Raw genomic sequence first — 22,517 nt, 5'->3', positions numbered from 1 at the left:
GCTTTTTTTTTTTTTTTTTTTTTTGGTTGGTAGGCTATTTATTGCTGCCTCAATTTCAGAACTTGTTATTGGTCTGTTCAGGGATTCAATTTCTTCCTGGTTCACTTTTGGTAGGGTGTATATGTCCAGGAATTTATCCATTTATTCTAGATTTTCTAGTTGATACAGATAGAGGTGTTTATAATATTCTCTGATGGTTGCTTGTATTCCTGTGGGGACAATCGTAATATCCACCTTATCATTTCTGATTGTGTTTATTTGATTCTCTCTTCATGAGTCTATCTAGTGGCCTATTTTATTAATCTTTTCAAAAAAACAACTCCTGGATTTACTGATGTTTTTAATGGCTTTTCTTGTCTCTACCTCCTTCAGTTCAGCTCTGATTCTGGTTATTTCTTGTCTTCTTCTAGCTTTGGGATTTGTTTGATTTTGATTTTCTAGTTCTTTTCATTGTGACATTAGGTTGTTAACTTGAGATCTTGCTAGCTTTCTGATGTGGGCATTTACTGCTATAGATTTCCTTCTTAACACTACTTTAGCTGTGTCCCTGAGAATCTGGTACATTGTATCTTTGTCCTTATTAGTTTGAAAGAACTTGATTTCCATCTTAATTTCATTATTTACCCAAAAGTCATTCAGGGGCAGGTTATTTAATTTTCATGCAATCGTGTGGTTTTGAGTGAATTTCTTCAGACTTTAGTTCTAATTTGATTGTGCTCTGGTCCAAGAGACTGTTGGTTATGATTTCAGTTCTTTTGTATTTGCTGAGCTGAGCAGTGTTTTACTTCCGATTATGTGATCTTTTTTAGAGTAAGTGCCACATGGTGATGAGAAGAATGTATAGTCTGTTGTTTTTGAGTGGAGAGTTCTGTAGATATATATCAGGTCCATTTAATCCAGATCTGAGTTCAGATCCTGAATATCTTTGTTAATTTTCTGTCTCAGTCTGTCTAATATTGTCAGTGCGGTGTTAAAGTCTCCCACTATTATTGTGTGGGAGTCTAAGTCTCTTTGAAGGTCTCTAATAACTTGGTTTATGAATCTGGGTGCTCCAGTGTTGGGTGCATATATATTTACGATAGCTAGTTCTTCTTGTTGAATTGAACCCTTTACCATTATGTAATGCCCTTCTTCTTTGTCTTTATTGATCTTTGTTGGTTAAAGTCTGTTTTGTCAGAACAGGATTGCAACCCCTGCTTTTTTCTGTTTTCCATTTGCTTTGTAAATTTTCCTCCATCCTTTTTTGAGCCTATGTGTGTCATTCCACATGAGATGGGTCTCTTGAAGACAGCAGACCATTGGGTCTTGTTTCTTTATCCAGCTGGCCACTCTGTGTCTTTTAATTGGGGCATTTATCCCATTTTCATTTGAGGTTAGTATTGTTATGTGCAGATTTGATCCTGTCATTATGATGTTAGCTGGTTATTTTGGAGACTTGTTTAAAATAACTTGTGGTTACTTTATAGTGTCATTTGTCTGTGTACTCCAGTGTGCTTTTGTAGTGGCTGGTAACGATTTTTCCTTTCCATATTTAGTGCTTCTTTTGGGAGCTATTGTAAGGCAGGTGTGGTGGTAACAAATTTCCTCAACATTTGCTTGTCTGGAAAGTATCTTATTTCTCCTTTGCTTATGAAGCTTAGATTGGGCACATATGAAATTCTGGGCTGGAATTTTTCTTTTTTCAGCATGTTGAATATTGGCCTCCAATCTCTTCTGACATGTAGGGTTTCCGCTGAGAGGTCTGCTGTTAGTCAGATGGTCTTCCCTTTGTAGGTTGCCTGGCCTTTCTCTCTGGCTGTCCTTAACATTTTTTCTTTCATTTTGACCTTGGAGAATCTGATGATTATGTGTCTTGGGGATGATCTTCTTGTGGAATATTTTACAGGGGTTCTCCCATTTCCTGAAATCGAATGTTGGTCTGTCTAGCTAGGTTGGGGAAGTCCTCATGGAAGATATCCTGAAATATATTTTCCAAGTTGGTTCCATTCTTCTCATCTCTTTCAGGTACACCAATCAGTCATATATTCAGTCTCTTTACATAATCTCATATTTCTCAGAGGTTTTGTCCATTCTTTTTCATTCTTTTTTCTCTATTCCTGTATGCCTGTCTTATTTCAGAAAGACAGTCTTCAAGCTCTGGGATTCTTTCCTCCACTTGGTCTATTCTGCTATTAATACTTGGAATTACATTATGAACTTCTTCTGTTGTTTTCTTCAGCGCTATCAGGTTGCTTACGTTATTCTCCATACTGGCTATTTTACCTTGTCAGTTGCTGAAATGTTTTATCATGATCTGTAGCTTCCTGCATTGAGTTAGAAGGTGCAGCTGTAGCAGAATGAACATCAATTTTATCCACATTCCGAAGTCTACTTCTGTCATTTCGGCCATCTCAGCCTCTGCCCAATTCCAAACCCTTGCTGGAGAGGTGATGTGGTCATCTGAACAGAAGAGGGCACTGTGGCTTTTTGAGTTTTCAGCGTTCTTGTGCTGATTCTTTATCTTTGTGGGCACATCTACCTTCAATCTTTGAGGCTGATCTTTGGATTTTTTTTTTTTCCTTTTTACAGTCTGGCCACTTTTCACAGGGCTGCTGTGGTTTGCTGGGCATCTGCTCTAGTCCCTAGTCGCCTTAGGTTTTCCAGTACCTGAGGGTATCACCAGTGAAGGCTGCAAAACTGCAAAGATGGCAGCCTGCCCCTTCCTCTGGGAGCTCTGTCCCAGAGGGGTACAGACCTGGTTGCTGGCCCAAACAACCAGGTGGTAGGTGGTGGCTGGAGACACTGGTTGGGAGGTGTCACCCAGTCAGGAAGAGTGGGATCAGGGATCTGCTTAAAGAAGCAGTCTAGCCACACTTTTATAAAGCAGCTGTGCTGTGTGGGTGTACCACTTCTGCCCCTAGTTAGCTTGGGCTCTCCAAAGTCTGTAAACTACGGAAGTTGCTGAGACAGAAAAAATGGCAGCCCACTCCTCCCTCTAGGAGCTCTGTCCCAGGAAGTTTTCAAACCTCTTAGCCACAGAACATCCATGGGAGTGACTGGAGGACACAGTTGGGAAGTCCCGCCCTGCAAGGAGGAATAGATCGGGGACTGCTTAAGGAAGCAGGATGGCCATGGTTTCATAGAGCAGCTGTGCCGTGCTGGGGTACTGCTTCTGCCCTGGTGGGCGTGGGCTCTCCAAAGCCCACAGGACAGAATGCTGAGTTGCCCAAACAGCAACGATGGCGCCCGCCCACCTCCCCCTCGAACTCAGTCCCAGGGTGAAATCAAAACATTGTGAACCAGAGAATACAAGTGAGGGTGGCTGGAGGGTCCAGTCGGGAGGTCCTGCTCAGAGATGAAGAACGGATCAGGGTTCTGCTTAAAGAAGTAGTCGGCCATGTTGTATTAGAGCAGCTGTGTTGTGTTGGGGGATCCCTTCTGCCCTGGTCGGTTTGGACTCTCCAAAGCCCACAGGCTGGAAAGGTTGAGCTGTCCAAACAGCAGAGATGGTAGCCTGCCCCTCCCCGCAGGCACTCAGTCCCAAAGAGAAATCAAAACTCTGTCAGTTGGGAGGTAACACCCAAGAAGAGGATTTGGATTGAGGGTCCCTCTTAAAGAAGCAGTCTGGCCACATTTTGGTAGAGCAGCTTTGCTGTGCTAGGTGATCCCTTCCATGCCCAGTTGGTTTGGACTCGCCTAAGCCCACAGGCTGGAATGGCTGAGTTATCCAAGCAGCAAAGATGGTAGTCTGCCCCTCCCGCCAGCAACTCTGTTTTGTCCCAGGTAGGTACAACTCTGTTGCTGGGGGCTGGCTGAAATTCCAAGCCAGTGGGTCTTATCCTGTGAGAAGCTGTGGAAATGGGGCCCACAGATCAATGCTTCTTAGCCCCCTGGATTCAGATCCCTTCCTAGGGGTAAATATGGATGTCCAAGCTCCCGCCCTGCCTAAGTTGCAATCACCTTTGTTAGGGATACTAGAGCCAGAGTATGTAAAGTTCCCGGGTCTCCATGCATGCCTGAGCAGCTTTTCTGTTGAGACTATACACAGTTCTGTGTGTCAGACCGAAGGCCCTGGTGGAATGGATTCACAAGGGGATCTCCTGACCGGACTTGTAAAGATCTGTGGGAGGGGCATGGTTTCCCAGGGTCACATATTCACTCACTGCTTCCCTGGGCAGGGGTAGGTTCTCTTGTATCCATGTTGCTCCCAGGTAAGCTGTTGCCCTGCCCTGCCCTGTCCTGCTCTTCTCCATTCTCTGTGGGTTGAGTTGTTTCCCTGATCAGTCCCAATGCAAGTACCTGGATGTTTCAGTTAAAGGTGCTGCATTTACTCGTCCCTTTCGTTCCTCTCTGTAAGAGCCACACACCATAGCTGCTTTTAGTTGGCCATCTTGGCGCCCCACTGGAAGTACTTTTTGAAGTGCTTAAATAAAAGAACTGTGAACCCACATCCTATATCCAGTAAAAATACTCTTCAGACATGAAAAAAAAAATTACGACATTCTTTGATGAAGAAAAACTAAGAAAACTTTTTACCAGCATACCAACCCTAATATAATGGTCAATGAAAGATTTCTAAACATAAAGTAAGCAAAAAAATAAGAACTCTTGGAACATCAGGAAGAAAAACATTATAATAGTAGGCAAATATATGGGTAAATACAACAGACAAAATTCTCATCTTGGGCTTTTATGTTTGAATGCTGAAGCAAAAACTGTAACATTGTCTAATGTGAGTCTATATGTATGTACAAAATATTTCAGGAAACTATTATAGACTCTCACAGACTCACTGTCTAATGTGAGTCTATATGTACGTACAAGAAATATTTCAGGCAATTGTATTGAGAGGGTAATGAGATATAAATTTAAGTTTCCTACACTTCACATGAATTGATAAAATTGATAAAATTTTATACACACACACACACATACACTAGAGTAACCAATAAACAACCACTAGAAAAGAGATATCATTAAAAATATTTATAAATAAAAATGAAACTCCTAAAAATATTCAAATAACTCCCAAGAAGAAAGGAAAAAGGAAAAAGAGAAACAAGTGAGAACAAACAAAATACAAGAAATACAGTGGGAGACTTAAGCTCCTACAGATAATTAATTATATAAATGTAAATGGTGTAAATACACCAACTGAAAGAGATTAGCAGAGTGAATTTAAAGGCAGACTCAAAAATATGCTCTCCATCTGAAACTCACTAAAAATATAAAGATACAAGAATGTTGACTATAAAAACATGGAAAAAGATCTACCAAGTAGACATAAGAAAGCAGGAGTGGCTGTATTAATACCAGGTAAAGTAGGCTTCAAAAGAAAAGAAATTACCAGAGACAGAGAGGCACAATACATAATGATAAAAAAATTAATCCATCGGGAAGACAAAACAATCCTAAAGGTGTATATAACAAACAACAAAGCTGCAAAACATGTGATGCAAAACTGATATACCTGAAAAAATGAAAGAAAAGACATAAACATAGTTGGAGACATCAAGAAGCCTCACAAAATTAGAAAGAACTAGTTATATAATCAACAAAGATACAGAAGAACTCAACAGTATCAACCACCAGGACATAACTGACATTTAAAGAACACTCTAGTCAAAACCAGCAAATACATGCCTGCAGAACTTATTTCAATATAGACCATGTTCTGTATCTTAAAAGAAAAATCAATTATTGTAAAATAATTGAAATAATACCCAAAATATTATTTGACCAGAATGGAAACAACAGAAACATACCAGACAAGGCACAGATTTGAAATCTAAACAAGAGACTTCTAAATAATCCATGAAACAAAAAGCACATCTCAAGAGAAATTAAACGCGTGCACACAAACACACACACACACTCTGTAAACTGAAAAAAAATATGAAAATAAGATATATCAAAAATTTTGGAATAGAGGAAAAGTAGTGCTATACGGACAATATAGCAATAAGTGCATTTTTTTGAAAACAGTAAAAGTCTCAAATCAATAATATAAGCATAAAATCTAGAAATTGACAAGCATAATAAAACTAAATCAAGCAGAAAGAAGGAAATAATAAAGAGCACAAACCAATAACATTAAAAACAGCAAAATAATAAAACAATGAAACAAAAAGCTGGATCTTAAAAAAAAAAAGCTGCCTCTAAGACTGACAAAGAGAAAAACAGAAAAGAAACAAATTACAAGCACACCTTGGAGGTACTGCATGTTCAGTACTAGGCCACCACAATACAATGAATATTATGACAAAATAAGTCTCACAACTTTTTGGTTTTCCAGTGCATATATAAAGTTATGTTTATGCTATACTACAGTTTATTAAATGTACAATAGGATTACGTTTTCAAAATGTACATACCTTGATTTTAAAAGATCTTATTGCAAAAAATGCTAATGACCATCTAACCCTTCAATGAGATGTAAAGTTTTTGTTAGTGGAGGGTCCTACTTTGATGCTGATGGCTGCTAACTCATCATGGTGGTGGTTGCAACAGAAAGATAACAATGAAGTTGCCCCACAGGTTGACTCTTCCTTTGACAAAATACTTCTCTGTACCATGTAATGCTATTTAATAGCATTTTATTCACAGAATTTTTTTCAAAATTGGAAGAGTCAATCCTCACAGATCCTGCCACTGTTTTATCAAGTAAGTTTATGTCATATTCTAAATCCTTTTTTGTCATTCCAATAATATTCACAGCATCTTCACCAGGAGTAGATTCCACCTCAAGGAACACCTTTCTTTGATTATCCATAAGAAAAAGCTCCTCATCTGTGAAAATTTTATCATGAGATTGCAGAAATTCAGTCACATCTTCCGGCTCTCCTTCTAATTCTATTTCTCTTGCTATTTTTACCACATCTGCAGCTACTTTCCACCAATGAAGTCATAAACCCCTCGAACTGATCCATAAAGGGTCGAATCAATTTCTAAAGTTTTATTAATGCTGGTATTTTGAACTCCCTCCATGAATCATTAATGTTATGAATGGCATCTAGAATGGTGAGCCTTTCCAAAATGTTTTCAAATTACTTTGCCCAGGTCTATCACAGCAATCCCTATCTATGGCAGCTATAGCCTGACAAAATGTATTTCTTAAATAATAAGACTTGAAACTCAAAATTACTCCCTAATCCATAGGCTGCAGAATGGATGTTGTGTTAGCAGCCATGAAAACAACATTATTCTCTTTGTACATTTTCATCAGAGCTCTTGGCTGACGAGGGGCACTGTCAGTGAGCAGCAGTATTTTTTTTAATCTATTTTTCTGAGCAGTAGGTCTCAACAGTGGACTTAAAGTATTTAGTAAATCATGCTGTAAACAGATGTATTGTGATTTAGCTTTGTTGTTTCATTTATAGAGCATAGGAAGAGTAAATTCAGCATAATTCTTAAGGGACCTATGATTTACAAAATGGTAAATGAGCAATGGCTTCAATTTAAAGTTACCAGCTGCATTAGCCACTAACTCATGAGTCAGCCTAAGCTTTGAAGCCAGGCATTGATATCTTATCTCTAGCTATGAAAGTCTTAGATGGCATCTTCTTACAGCAGAAGGCTATTTCATCTATATTGATAACCTGTTGTTGAGTGTAGCCACTAAAGATTCATCAATGATTTTAGCTAGATTATGGATGACTTGCTGCAACTTTTAAATCACCACTTGCAGCTTTACCTTGTACTTTTATGTTACAGAGATGACTTATTTCCTCAAACCTCAGGAAGCAACCTCTGCTAGCTTCCAACTTTTCTTGTGCAACTTCTGCACCTCACTTAGCCTTTGTAGGGCTGAAGAGAATTCGGGCCTTGCCCTGGATTAGGTTTTGGCTGAAGAAAATTTTGTGGCTAGTCCAATCTAGCCAGACTGCTAAAATTATCTCTTTATTAGCAATTAAGCTGTTTTACTTTCTTATCATTCATGTGTTATCTGAAACAGCACTTTTACCTTTTTTCAAAAACTTTTAGTTTCCATTCACACCTTGGCTAAGTGTTTGGTGCGAGAGGCCTAGCTTTTGACCTGTTTTGGCTTGTGACATGCCTTTCTCAGTAAATTTGCTCACTTTTAGCTTTTCACTTAAAGTGAGAGATATGTAGCTCTTCCTTTCACTTTAACACTTAAAGGGCACTGTAGGGTAATTATTTGGCCTAATTTCAGTATTGATGTGTCTCAGTGAATAAGAAAACCCATGGAGAGAGAAAGAGATGGGGAAATGGTCATTAAGTGGAACAAACAGAACACACACAACATTTATTGATTAAGTTCACCATGTTCTATGGATGTGGTTCATGGTAAGCCAAAACAATTGTATGAGTAACATCAAACATCACTGATCAGAGATCACCATCATAGATACAGTCATTATTAAAAAGTTTAAAATATTGTGAGAATTACCAAAATGTGACACAGAGACAAAATGAAAACATGCTGTTGAAAAAATGGCACTGACAGACTCGCTTGATGCAGGATTGCCATAAACCTTTGATATGTAAAAAGCACAATCTTTGAGCAGAGTCAAAATGTAAAGCCCAATAAAATAAAGTACACCTATTCCCACATCACGAAAGAAACAGGAGAGATATCACTACCGACTCTGTAGGAATCAAAAGGATAGTAAGGAAATACTACAAACCACTCTACACACATCAGTTTGTTAACCTAAGAGACACAGGCAATTCCTCAAAAGAACAACAGGCTACCAAATACTCACCCAATGTGAAATCAGTAATTTGAATAGACCTACAACTATTAAGATCATTGGATTTGTATTTTAAAACTCCTCCAAAAACTGTCTAGGCAATAATTCTTTCACTGGAAAATCCAAACAAATACTCACAAAATTTACACCAATTCTAAACCATCTCTATCAGAAAATCAAAGGAGGGAATATCCAAATGGATATTATGAAGGGAATATTACGCAGATGCAAAAAGCAAACAAAGACAGTATAATAAAACAAAACCCAAAGACAAATATTTCTCATGTGAATATATATCCAAAAGATCCTTAACAAAATATTAGTAAAAGAATTCAGAATTACATATAAAAAGAACTATATATCGTGACTAAATGGTGCTTATTCCATGTATGCAAGGCTGGTTCAATATTCAAAAATCAATCAATGTAAAACATCATATTAACAGTTTGAAGAAACACAATCACATGATTATAGAATCAATGCGGGAAAGCATTTCACAAAATTCAACCAATTCATGATAAAAATTCTCAAAAAGATGAGAAGAAAAAGGAAATTCCTCAACTTGGTAAAAAATAGCATTGTTTAAAAATCTACTAACATCATTCTTAATGATAAAAAGACTGAATGCTTTCCCCAAAGACCAGGAACAAAAAAAAAAAGATATATGCTCTCACTACTCTTATTCAATGAAGTAAATAATATTTAGCAAGTGCAGTAAGGCAATAAAAGGAAATAAGAAGCAAACAGACTGGAAAGAAGGAGATAAACTGTCCCTATTTGCAAATGGCACATTTGTCAACATAGAAAATCCCAAGGAACCTAGAAAAAACTCCTAGAATAAGGGAGTTCTTCAAGGCCACAAGATACAAGACTGATATATGAAAATCAATTACATTTGTATATATTAGCCATGGACACATGAATCTTTAAATTAAAATATAATGCCACTTATCATTGCTTAAAAAAAATGAAATAGGTAGGTGTACATCTACAAAACGTTGTAGGGCTTGCGTGCTGAAAACTACAAAATGTTGGTGAAAGGTATCAAAGATCTAATAAATAAATATACAGAATAACAGATTGTTAGACTCAACATTTAAAAATATTAATTCTCCCCAAATTAATAACAAAAGCTTAGCTTGTTACCAATCAAAATTACAGTGAGTATTTTTAGTATACATAGACAATATTATTCTACAACTTACATGGAAAGGCAAAGGAATTATAATAGCTAAAACAATTTTGAAAAAGAATTAAGTGTGAGGTATCAGTCTTCTCAATGTCAAGACATATACAGATATAATAATAAAGACTGTGTGGTATTAGCCAGAAAGATAAACATATAAATCAGTGAAACAGAATAGAGAAACCAGGAATAGACCCCACACAAATATGCCCAACCGATTTTACACATAAGTAAAAAAGCAACTCAACAAATGGTGCTGGAGCAAGTGCATATCCATAGGCAAAAACCTCGACCTATCTCATGCCTTACATAAAAAATAACTCAAAATGGACATTGTACTTAAATATGAAGTGTAAAACTATAAAAGTTTTAGGAAAAATAGGAGAAAATCTTCTGGAGTAGTGCTAGACAAGGAATTTTTATACTTGACACAAAAAGCACCATCCATAAAAGGAAGTATAGATAAACTGTACTTTATCAAAATTTAAAACTTTCACCGTGTGAAAAACCCTGGTAAGAAAGTGAAAGAAGAGGCTACGAAACAAGAACATTTTGCAAACAATGTATCCAAGAAAACACTGGCATGCAGACAATATAAAGAACCCTCGAACATGACAATAACAAAAAAAGCAGAAAATGAGCAAAAGGTATAAAGAGACATTTCATTCAAGAGGATTTGCAGATGGAAAATACATTCAACATCTTAGGCATTAGGAAAATGTAAATTAAAATCATAATAAGAACAGGCGTGGTGGCTCACACCTGTAATTCCAGCACTTTGGGAGGCTGAGGCAGGCGGATCACTTGAGGCCAGGGGTTCGAGACCATAGATGCTGAAACCTCACCTCTACTTAAAATATGAAAATTAGCTGGGCATGGTGGCGCACATCTGTAATCCCAGCTACTTGGGAGACTGAGTCACACGTGCCACTGCACTCCAGCCTGGGTGACAGAGCAAGACTGTCTCAAAAAAACAAAAACAAACAAAAAAATGTAATGAGATATCATCACACATCTATAACAATAGCTACATTTTTTAAAATAGTGACTAAAAAATGCTGGTGAAGATGGAAAGAATTGGATCATTCATAGTTCACTGGTTGGAATGCACAATTTTACAGTCATTCTGCATACATTTTAGCAGTTATTTTAAGAATTAAATAGGCAATTACCATGCCAACTCTGCTATTGCACCCCTGGACATTTATCCCAGAGAAAAGAAAACTGTGTTAATACCCAAAACCTGTATAGGGGGTTACAGTAGTTTTGTATTTACCCACAATTGAAAGCAACCTAGATTTCCCTTAATCAGTGAATGTTAGACTGTGGCACATCCATACCATGGAATACTTCTCTGTCATACAATGTGGCCAACGCCTGATATACAGTATGGATAAATATCTAGATAATTATGCTAATAGAAAGTACACAACCCCAAAAGATTACATGTGGTGTGATTCCACTTATATAAGTTTCTTGATTTAACAATATTATAGAAATGGAGAACAAATTAGTGTTTACAAGGAGTTCAGGTGGGAGATGGGGAAAGGGAAGTGGGTATTTTACAAATAGGCAAATTGAGGGATCCTTGTGTTGATGAAAATGTCCTTTATCTTCACTGGGTCAGTGTCAAACTCCTGATTGTGACACTGTACTGTTTTGCTAAATATTACCATTTGAGGAAACTGGATAGAGGGTACAGAGGATCTCTCTTTAGAAAATATTTTAACCACATGTAATTCTACAACTATCTAAAAAGTTTAATTAAAAAATCAATTATAATTTTATATACCAGGAACAACAATCAGAAAATAAAATTTAGAAAGATAATTCCAATGACTATGGAGCAGGATGGCTGACTAAATGCAGCCAGAAAGTGCCTCTCCCACTTCACTGAACCCAAAATATCCAGTAAACCATCACACTTTCTTTTTAAAGAAAACACTGAAAGTTGATAGAAAGGTACTACTGACACTGAGGTAGAAGAGGGAGGATGCTGGGAACACTGCAAAACATTGCCGAGTACCAGGACCAGCTCCCAGCCCTCAACAGTTCCTAAGAAAGGTGTAAGTGAAGGAACTGCAGAGAAACACACTGGCATCCTAGCTACCTCTGGGATCCCATGACCCCCAGACAGCTGAATTGACAGGGAGAACTGCCCAGAGAATAGGCAGAGGCAGAGGTCAAGCCTGCATGGAATGCAGGAGGTTGTGAATATAGGGCAGCTGCAGCAAAACATAACCATAGGCACCTATTCCCAAAGGCTCTTCATATAGCTCTGAGCGGCTCTACCTCCTGCTGACTGCTGGGATGGGAGAAAGGAGGGCTACCTTTCCTGCAGGATAGGAGTCTGTCTGATCTGTATGCTTCTCTCTCTGCCAACCGCTCACAAGGCCCCTGCATGACCACAATTGCCCCACCGAATTGCTTTGCTGGCAGCCTGGGAAATGCAGACTGTTAGGCCAAGAATGTTACACTATAAAGGATTCAATAGCTCTCAGCCAATATGTGGCAAATAATATTAATGTATAGCTTTAGAATATTAAAACAAAAGTAAATTCATAATTTGCAGGATAACCAAATCCCTAGTTTAAAAACAGAAAAAAAAACCCACAAAAAACAAAAGAAGCATAAGCATTTAATGTTTCTTTGTGTCACAGAAAAAATCTCTGCAGCAGATTCTGAACATGTGGTAGGTTACATAGAATGATATTATATATATATGGTATATTATATCAAATATATACAAAATATACACATTTGTATACACGCATTTGCTTAAATTGCATTAAGTTCTATAATATTACCGAATAATAATTTTCCTCCTTTTCTATATGACACAGGATGCATCAATGCTTATCAATAGGGGAATGAAGTGAATATTTTGCAAATGTCTATATTGTTTATCACTCTATCTCCCTGGTAACCACAATGTTTGGCATATGATAGGTGTTTAATAAATATTTGTTGCATGAGTTAATGAATATATCCCATTATAGGCCCCCCTCTATATTCTGAAAGACTCAATCTTTTGAAAGAATGCAAAGAAAGATGGATTTCATTTTTCAGCATTCCCCAACCTTTTTGGCGCCAGGGACTAGTTTCATGGAAGACAATGTTTCCGTGAACTGGGGGTGGGGAAGTGGTTTCAGGATGATTCAAGCACATTATATTTATTGTGTACTTTATTTCTATTATTACATTGTAATATATTATGAAATAATTATACAACTCACCATAATGTTGAATCAGTGAGAGCCCTGAGCTTGTTTTCCTGCAACTAGATGGTCCCATCTCGGGGTGATGGGAGATAGTGACGCCCAAAATGTGTTGCTTATATTCAGTCTGCTCCATAATCTCATTTTGGTTGCTGTCACTGCAGGAAACCCTGCTTCACAAAGACAGGATGTTGGCAATGGAAGCAGGCTTTTTAGTGCTTTTGTGGCAATCTCAGGATATTCCGCCTTGACTTTAGTCTAGAACATATGGAGATTTGAAGTTGTCTCAAACATACTTTTAAGGCCACCATAATTTGAAGTCAAGCAGTGGATCCTCTTCTAGCAAGGACAAAGGCAATTCACCTGACTTATTCAGGAATGGGTCACAAATCCATTCCTTCCAGTTCGGGGGTCTTTTGTGGTTGGGAGGTAATACTCAACTCTTTTGAAAGCCGAGATAGGTGATCATACACTAGCTGAGAGAAAGGCAGCCCTGGCTCAGTCTCTCAAAATCTCTGCTAATGCTTGAAACATGTCAGAAATCCCAATGTTCCTTCATCACCCCCATAATTCCAGTTTGGTTTTGAATGGAGCCATTTTATCTGCCGACTTGAACACACTTGTTGTTCTCCCCTGAAGCGACAGATCGAGTTCTCTGTGCAGGTTGAATAGGTCACACAAGTAAGCAAGTTTTGGGACCCTTTCTGTGTCACTGAAATGTGCTGCCAGTGGTGATTGTTTTTCTAAAAGAAAAGAACTATTCTCCTAAAAGAAATCTCTGAAGCGGCTCTTGTAACTCAAACTCTGGCCAGTGATCTACCTTTAGAAAACCATCTCACTCCTGTGTATTAGAGAAGATGTGTGTGCTCTGTGTCCATCTCCTCACAGAGCTGCGCAAACAGATGTGAGTTAAGGGCATGTATTTTAATGTGGTTGATAATTTTAATCACATCCTGTAAAATGCTGTTAAGTTCAGGTGACATTTTTTGGCTAGCCAGCATTTCTCTAAGGATAACAGGGTGTGTAGGCTCACATTCAGAAGCGACCTCTTTGACCCAAGTAGTGAAACCAAAAAGCTGTCAAGTAATGGTAGCTGCTCCATCTGTGCATATGCTGACAGAAAATGACCAGTTTCGTTTTCCTGATATGTAATCATTCAAAGACTTGAATAGTTCTGCAGCTGTGGTGCTGGTTGGCAACAAAAGCACACAAAACATTTCCTCATGTATATCCTCCTGAAAAATACATCATACAAAAACAAGCATTGTTCCCTTGTTGTCAACACTGGTAGACCCATCAACCTGGATTGCATACCACAGTGATTCATTAATCCTCTCTAACAGTTGTGCCTCCATGTACTCTGCTATTTCATTGATTCGTCTAGTTAGGGTGCTAGCTCAAAGGGGAAGATATGCCACCTTTTGAATTGCAGCCTCTCCTAAAAGTTCATGAAATATGTCCTTAGCAGCAGGCAGGATCAACTCTTCATGTAAAGGGCTCCTTAGCTTTAGCAATGTGGTTAGCCACTAAGAATGATGGTCTCAGTGGAGACACATTTGATGAAATAGTGGCCTTTAGTAATTGCTTCTGTTCTTTATGTTCATGTTCTTTTCTTTTGAAAAACTCCAAAGGCTTGTCTTCTAATGCAGGGCGTGTAGTCTCCATGTGGTGAAGCAGTTTTGAAGGTTTCATGGCTTTGGACAGCCAGTCACCACATATTACACAAAGCAGGCTCTGAGAATGTGAAATCACCTACTGCAATGAACCCATAACTTATGTAAGACTCTCGGTATTTTCTTTTAAATGCAGCTTTTTTTTTTTTTTGGTTGGCAGTCTTAGAGTCTTCTGCTATCTCATCATTGGGTCTGTCTCCCTTTTCAAAGAAGCTCTCCAGTGATGTTTGGCTTTTACTTATTTTGGGTAGGGTTAGCTGGTGGGTTTACCAAAACTCTGACTAAGAAAAGTGTGTAATGCAGGAAAGAGAAGCAGATGAAAGTGGTAAATAAAATAATAAGCAGGCCACTCATGAATTAAAAGAAGTGCTGGATTCTGACTTAAAGCGTTACCACCAGATGCAGCTGTACAATTGAAGTACATCACCTCACTTGCCACTATAAAGCTTGACGTCAGATGCAGCTTGCCACCTGCCACTCACTGATTGGGTTTTGAAATGAGTCTGCAAGTAATTGATTTACTATGGTCTCTGTGCAGTCAAACCTCTCTGCTAATGTTAATCTGTATTTGCAGCTGTTCCCCAGCGCTAGCATCATTGCCTCAGCTCCACTTCAGATCATCAGGCATTACATTCTCATAAGGAGTGCACAACCTAGATCTCTCACATGTGTAGTTCACAATAGGGTTCACACTCCAATAAGAATCTAATGCTGCCTCTGATCTAACAGAAGGCAGGGCTCAGGTGCTAATGTGAGCAGTGGGGAGTGGCTGTAAATACAGATGAAGCTTCACTTGCTCATCTGCTGCTCACCTCTTGCTGTGCAGCCCAGTTCTCAACAGGTCACGGACTGCTACTGGTCCATGGTCCGGGGGTCGGGGACCCCTGCTTGTTTTTGTTTTTTTTTTTAAGAGATGGAGTCTCACTCTGTTGCTCAGGTTGGAGTGCAGTGGCGTGATCTTGGCTCACTGCAACCTCCACCTCCCAGGTTCAAGCGATTCTCCTGCCTCATCCTCCCGAGTAGCTGGGACTACAGGCGCACGCCACCACGCCCTGCTAATTTCGATTGTATTTTAGTAGACACAGGGTTTCACCATGTTGCCTAGGCTGGTCTCGAACTCCTGAGCTCAGGCAATCCACCGGCCTCGGCCTCCCAAAGTGCTAGGATTACAGGCGTGAGCCACCACACCCAGCCAACCCTGATTTTTATATTAACTGTATTACCAAACATACTTTCATTGTAAAGTTTAGGGGTAAGATCAAACAAAACCCTCTGAATCAGAACAGTTATCCCTCAATCTCTGGGTTTGTCTCAGTATTGGGGATTTCTCCTGAGTCTCCTTAGGTGAACATTCACTTATCTGTTAGGGAACAGGCAACAACTAAAGCATTTTTATGTGATGAGTAACTAAAATTATGAGACTTTGTTTTTAAGCCCACTTTAATGGTTTTCATTTATTTTGGTATTTAATCACCTTCTACCATACATTATTTATTGAGTGTTTCTTATACAGTCATGCATTGCTTAACAACAGGGATATGTTCTCAGAAATATGACATTAGGTGATCTCATCATTGTGTGAACCTCACAGTCTATTCTTACACAAATCTAAATAGTATAGCCTACTACACAGCTAGGCTATATAGTATAGCCTATTGATCCTAGGCTACAAACCTATAGAAGATGTTACTGTAGGCAGCTGTAACACAGTGGTAAATACCTATCTAAACACAGAAAATACAGTAAATACACTGTATTATAATCTTCTACAACCACCTTTGCACATGTTGTCCACCACTGATTGAAATATGCAGTGCCTGACTGTAAATTACCATTGGTGGTATTTTCTTACAGCAGCACAAAGACCTTATATAAATAAAATGAATAATTATATTTTTACTAGTGCAAAGAAATCCATAAGGACTAATACATGTACAATGATTTACAGTAATATTCAGGGCTTCTTTGACTAACATTATTTCTTATTTTCAAGAGCAAATATTGTAATCTTTATAAATAAAATTTTTTCCTGAATACGTGTCTTTTTAAAAAAATATCTACCCCACTGGGCACAGTAGTAAACCAGAGTCAAAGCACTATAGAATATCTCCAAGTGAACACAGTTAAAAGCTTTGCTCCACAAAATTCAGTCATTTCCAATTCCAATCATAAAACTTATCTCCAAAACACACTTCAGTTATTTGAGTCAAAAATCAACTGATTTATATACATAATATCCAACTGTGACGCCTAGCTTTCTGATACATTATGAATAGCTCCACTGTGGTATAACTGAGAAAATACAGGTAATAGCAACTTCCTTTGAATTTGCAAGCTGATTGCCTTTGTGAGTGGATCTTTAAATCAGTTTGCAATGTTTTAACATTTGAATATTTTTAAAACATTTTCCATTTAATATGCACATACATATTTCATAAAATACAGTAGTCTCCCTTATGTGTGGTTTCTCTTTACAGAGTTTCAGTTACTTATGATCAACTGATGTCTAAAACCAGGTGAGTACTGTACAATATAATATTATGAGAGAGGGTGACAGAGAACACATTCACATAACTTATATTATTATAATTATTCTATTTTATTATTAGTTATTGTTAATCTCATACTGTGCCTAACTTATAAGTTAAACTTTATCATAGGTATGTATATAAATGAAAAAACAAGGTATATACAGGGCTCAGTAACATCTGTGATTTCAGGGATCAACTAGGGTTCTTGGAATGTATCCCTTGCAGAAAAGGAGGGACTACTGTATTTTGAATTGCTATATATTCAATAATAAATATCTCACGATATTTAGTCTTATAAAATTTATACATCCTTAATACAATGAAAGAAGCACACCTAACTGTGAGAATCATGTGGGCATTTACTATACATTTTTAAATCTTTTTTAAAAGGATTTTAAATTTTATCTTAAGCACACTAGATGACTTTAAAGGGTTGGCATGATCTGATTTATGTATTTTTAATTCTACCTATACAATTTATTTTATTTTTAAAATTAAAAAACATTTGGCTGGGTGTGGTGGCTTATGCCTGTAATCCCAGAACTTTGGGGGGCCAAGGCAGGAAGATGACCTGAGACCAGGAATTCAAGACCAGCCTGGGCAACATAGTGAGACCCTGACTTTAAAAAAAAATATTAAAAAAAAAAAAAAAGCCAGGTATGGTGGCATGTGCCTGTGGTCCCAGTTGCTTGGGAGGCTGTGGAAAGAGGATTGCTTCAGCCTGGGAGCTCAAGGCTACAGTGAGCCATGATAGAGCCATTGCACTCCAGCCTGGGTGACAGAGTGAGACCGTGTCACTGTAAAAATAAAATTTTAAAAATAATAATTGTGGTAAAAGACACACAAAATAAAATTCACCACCTTAATCCCTCTTAAGAATACAGTTTGGTACTGTTAAATATAATTACCCTGTTGTGTGACCAAACACCATCTTGTAAAACTGAAACTCTATACCCATTAAACAACAGCTCCCCATTTCCTACTCCACTGAACCCCTGGTAACCACCATTCTACATTCTGTTTTTATGAATTTGACAACAATAAATATCTCATGTAAGTGGAATTATACAATATTTGTCTTCTTCTTGCTGGCTTATTTCATTTAGAATAACGCCCTCAAGATATATATTGTTTTATCTATTTTATATATATATTGTTTTATCTATTCATTCCTTCCACCTTTTGGCTGTTCTGCATAATGCTGCTATGAACATGGGCATATCAGTATCTCTTTGAGACCCTACCTTCAATTCTTGGAATTGTACAATCATAATTCTATTTTTAACTTTTTGAGGAACCATTATACTGTTTTTCATAATGGATGTACCATTTTACATCCCCACCAACAATACACAAAGGTTCCAATTTCTATATATCCTCACCAACATTTGTTATTTCAGGATTCTTCTGGTTTTGTTTTCTTTTTTTACAGCAGCCATTCTTAGGTGTGTGAGGTAATATCTCACTGTGGTTTTGATTTGCATTTGCCTAATGATTAGAGATGTTGAGCATCTTTTCAAATACTTGTTGGCCATTGAGTATCTTCTTTGTATAATACAAATGTGTATTCAAGTCCTTGCCCAATTTTAATCTAGTTTTTTTTTGTTGCTGTTGAATTCTTTTTAATCTTTTGTAACTAAATTGTCACTCTTTAAATGATGGGATTCTAATCATAGGTAAAGTTGTTATTGGTTGGTTGGTTTTCAAATCATATGAGAAGTGACCTGGAGCAATGGGAAAAGCATTGTATCAGAGAACGGAAGATGTGGTTTCAAATGATAATTATATGGCATATTTGTAGAGTGACTCTGTACATACATTTTAACCTCTGGTCATCAGGCCCCTTGTAAAAACAATGGGACAATTATATCTCCCCTATGAGATCATAGGGTTAGTCTGAGTATCTAATGAGAGACACAAATGTAAAACATTATAAAATAAAATAAAATTGTTATAAATAAATGGTGCATATAAAATCAGTTTAAATAACTTTAAAAAAAATTTTCTTTTTTTTTTTTTTTGAAATGGAGTCTCACTCTGTCGCCCAAGCTGGAGTATAATGGCATGATCTTGGCTCACTGCAACCTCCGCCTCCCAGATTCAAGCAATTCTTGTGCCTCAGCCTCTCAAGTAGCTGGGATTGCAAGTGCCCACCACCACGGCTGGCTAACTTTTTGTATTTTTAGTATACTGAGGAGGGATTTCGCCTTGTTGGCCAGGCTGGTCTTGAACTCCTTACCTCAGGTAATACATCTGCCTCAGCCTCCCAAAGCGCTGGGATTACACACGTGAGCCACAGCACCTGGCCCAAATTTTTAAATAAAGATGTACCAACCTGGAGACAGGCTGAGATGTTGTTGTGATGTATTATAAGCAAATCAGAAAAACTCATCTGGATAAATGTAATTAGATAAATATCTGTTAGATTATTTCCATTCTTATAATTCATACCAACATTCTTTTCTATTTTTTATTTCCTTGATAATGAAAGGTTTTTAAGTACCATGTTATCCAGGTAATGCTTGCTTCCAGAATATTTTTATGAAGTTCCTAAATATTCAGGAATTTCTAAGAAGCAATTAAAAATTACAAGTGCAATTTAAAAATGCACTTCATTACATACAAATATACTACTACAAAAAGCTACAGAACAACCTAACACACTCCTTTAGGATGGCCCATGAATTACCTTTTCCTATATATTGGGAAAGAAAGGATAAACATAAACAGACTTCCAAACATGAAACAGTATGGCAAACAACATTTACATGCCTTACTACAAAATTTAAATTAGTATTTTAAATATGCAATTATAAAAAAATTTACCTAAAAATTATTACTATTTAAATATAATCATTAGCTTATTCAAAACTTTGAAAAACTTATAATCCCAGATTTGTTTAGTTAGTGACTGAATTTTAACTTTGAAAATCTCCTTATCTGTCTTTTACTGGCACAGTGGTTAAGGACAAAGACTAGGTAATCTGGATTTAATTCTGACACATACATTTAATAGATGTGTGACCTTCAGCAAGTTAGTTAACCTGTGGTCTGAGACTTTCTTTCTCATGTTTAAAATTAAGCTAACAATCACACCTCTCTCAGTTGTTTCATATGTTAAATAAGTCAATAAAGTGCTTTAAATACTGATTGACATGTTATAACCATTTGCTGTTATTATTTCTATAACTATGTTTATTACTATTTTTCCTGCTTTGACATTGTGATAAATACCCTTAAAAGGATAGAAGGAAAAGTGAAACATCTTTGGTAGTGGGTGGCATAGATAAAGGTTTATCTAATTTCATCAAGGCAATCAGAAAAGATACTGATGTGGGTAGAGAATAAAATTAGTCTCACAAAGCATCATCAGTATCTAAAAAAGCATACTAAACCACTGGTTTATGTTATAATTTAGACATACTTAAAGAGAAATTTGAGAAGAATGATGTCTGCAGTATACAGATCATTTACAATCTTAATATAACTTGTAATTACTTGTTCCCAAACTCAAGTGTAACCCAAGGCGTTCTGTGAATTTTACAGAACTAATCCCAAATCTAAATAATTAAACAGAGAAATCCAAATGTCAACAAAGGACAGGTAGCTTTAGAAGTAAACTCCAATGAATAGACAAGAAAGCAAAAAACTGATTAATTGAAAGAACTAATGTAAAGCCCCCAAATAATTAAGCTATCACTTGTAAATAAATCTCAGCTGGCTCAGTTGGCTGTCTTTGATTATGCATATACTTCTCCTATCTACCTGGTTGGTACAGGTACAAGACTCAAATAAACGTGAACATAATCAGTATTATTAAACTGATCGAAGTAAAACAGTGAATTAACTATAGTTATTATCTACATAAGAAAAAGAATAAAAAGAGTGAAAACACCAATTCCTCAAACACATATAGAGCTTGAAAGCAGTGTCTAAATCTTTGATTAAAAAAAAAAAAAACTCCCCTCATACTTTCTCCCAGTCATTGCTCTACCCACAACAGAAGGAAATACTGACTTCTAACACTATATATTAATTTTGTCTGTTTCTGAACTTTATAAAAATGAATCATACCATAGGCATTCCTTTTGTATCTGATGCCTCTGCAGAACATTAAGTTTATGAGATTCATCTATGTTTAAATTTAATTGTATGCTGTTCATTCTCATTGTACAGTATACCATGCTATGAATGTACCATGATTTAGTTATCCATTCTACTATAAGTAGACATTTGGATTGTTTCCAATTTAGGTCATTACAAATAGTATCAACATTCCTGCACATGTCCTTTGGTAAACTTAAGCAAACTTTCCTTTTAGATATATACCTACAACTAAAATTCCTGGGTAATAGATAACATATATGTTCAGGTTTAGTAAACACTCCCAGTTTCCCAAAGTGGTAGTACCAATTTGTGTATCAGATATCCAACTATACAACTTCCTTACAAACACTTGGAAAAGGCATCTTTTTTACTTAGCCACTCTGGTGGGTGTGTAGAAATATTTTGCTGTGGTTTTAGCTTGCATTTCCCTAATGATTTTTTATGTTGAGTATCTTTTCATGTTCATATTGAACATATACTATTTGTGAAGTGCCTTTTCAAGTCTTTTATTCATTTTTAAAATTGGGTTATGGAATATGAGTCCTTTGTTGGATATATGTATTACAAGTATCTTCTTTCATTCTATGATTTACCTTTCAGTTTTTAGATTTCTAAAGTTCTTATTTTTAATGTGATCCAATGTATCAATTTTTCCTATTATTAAGAAATCTTTCCCTAACCCAAGATCACGAAGATATTCTGCCATGTTTCCATCTAAAAGCTTTATTTTTTAAATCTTTCATAGTTGGATCTATGATGTACCTAAAATGGATTTTTATGTATGTCAATAAGCATATTTTCTATAAGGATATTGAATTGAAATAAAATTCTTTTCTCCATTATACTTAAAAAAATCAGTCATAAATCAGGTAGAAGCATATATGCAGACCTGTTCCTGGAAGTAATAGTTTTCTTTTACTTCTGTAACAAATTAGAACAAACTTTGCAGCTCAAAACAACACAATTTTACTATTCACAATTTACAAGTCAGAAATCCAGGTTAGCTCAGCTAATTTTTCTACTCCCAGTTTCAAAAAAAAAAAAAACAAAAATCAAAATGTCTGCCTGCTGAGCTCGTACTCTTAAGGCTCAGTAAAGATTCTACTTCA

The 22,517-nt window shown here is 36.8% G+C and overlaps 1 protein-coding gene across 20 annotated transcripts in view, besides 4 other annotated features; it reads right to left on the bottom strand.

Moving 5' to 3' along the window:
- The window catches only part of GPHN (gephyrin), a 1,227,209-nt gene that overhangs the window by 1,070,342 nt on the left and 134,350 nt on the right, over positions 1 to 22,517 (bottom strand). The gene's annotated exons all lie outside the window — the stretch shown is intronic.
- Positions 13,914 to 14,003: an enhancer, noted in NCBI's record as "active region_8574". NCBI's record gives its function as "activates an Ori minimal core promoter by ATAC-STARR-seq in GM12878 lymphoblastoid cells {active_cell/tissue: GM12878}" and the evidence as "EXISTENCE:reporter gene assay evidence [ECO:0000049][PMID:35858748]".
- Positions 14,084 to 14,143: an enhancer, noted in NCBI's record as "active region_8573". NCBI's record gives its function as "activates an Ori minimal core promoter by ATAC-STARR-seq in GM12878 lymphoblastoid cells {active_cell/tissue: GM12878}" and the evidence as "EXISTENCE:reporter gene assay evidence [ECO:0000049][PMID:35858748]".
- Positions 14,194 to 14,253: an enhancer, noted in NCBI's record as "active region_8572". NCBI's record gives its function as "activates an Ori minimal core promoter by ATAC-STARR-seq in GM12878 lymphoblastoid cells {active_cell/tissue: GM12878}" and the evidence as "EXISTENCE:reporter gene assay evidence [ECO:0000049][PMID:35858748]".
- Positions 14,264 to 14,463: an enhancer, noted in NCBI's record as "active region_8571". NCBI's record gives its function as "activates an Ori minimal core promoter by ATAC-STARR-seq in GM12878 lymphoblastoid cells {active_cell/tissue: GM12878}" and the evidence as "EXISTENCE:reporter gene assay evidence [ECO:0000049][PMID:35858748]".

This window comes from Homo sapiens, chromosome 14 (assembly GCF_000001405.40).
Source record: "Homo sapiens chromosome 14, GRCh38.p14 Primary Assembly".
In the NCBI taxonomy this organism is placed as follows: Eukaryota; Metazoa; Chordata; class Mammalia; order Primates; family Hominidae; genus Homo; species Homo sapiens.
Note: the sequence above shows the minus strand (reverse complement) of the source record. Positions and strands in the feature narration are given on the sequence as shown.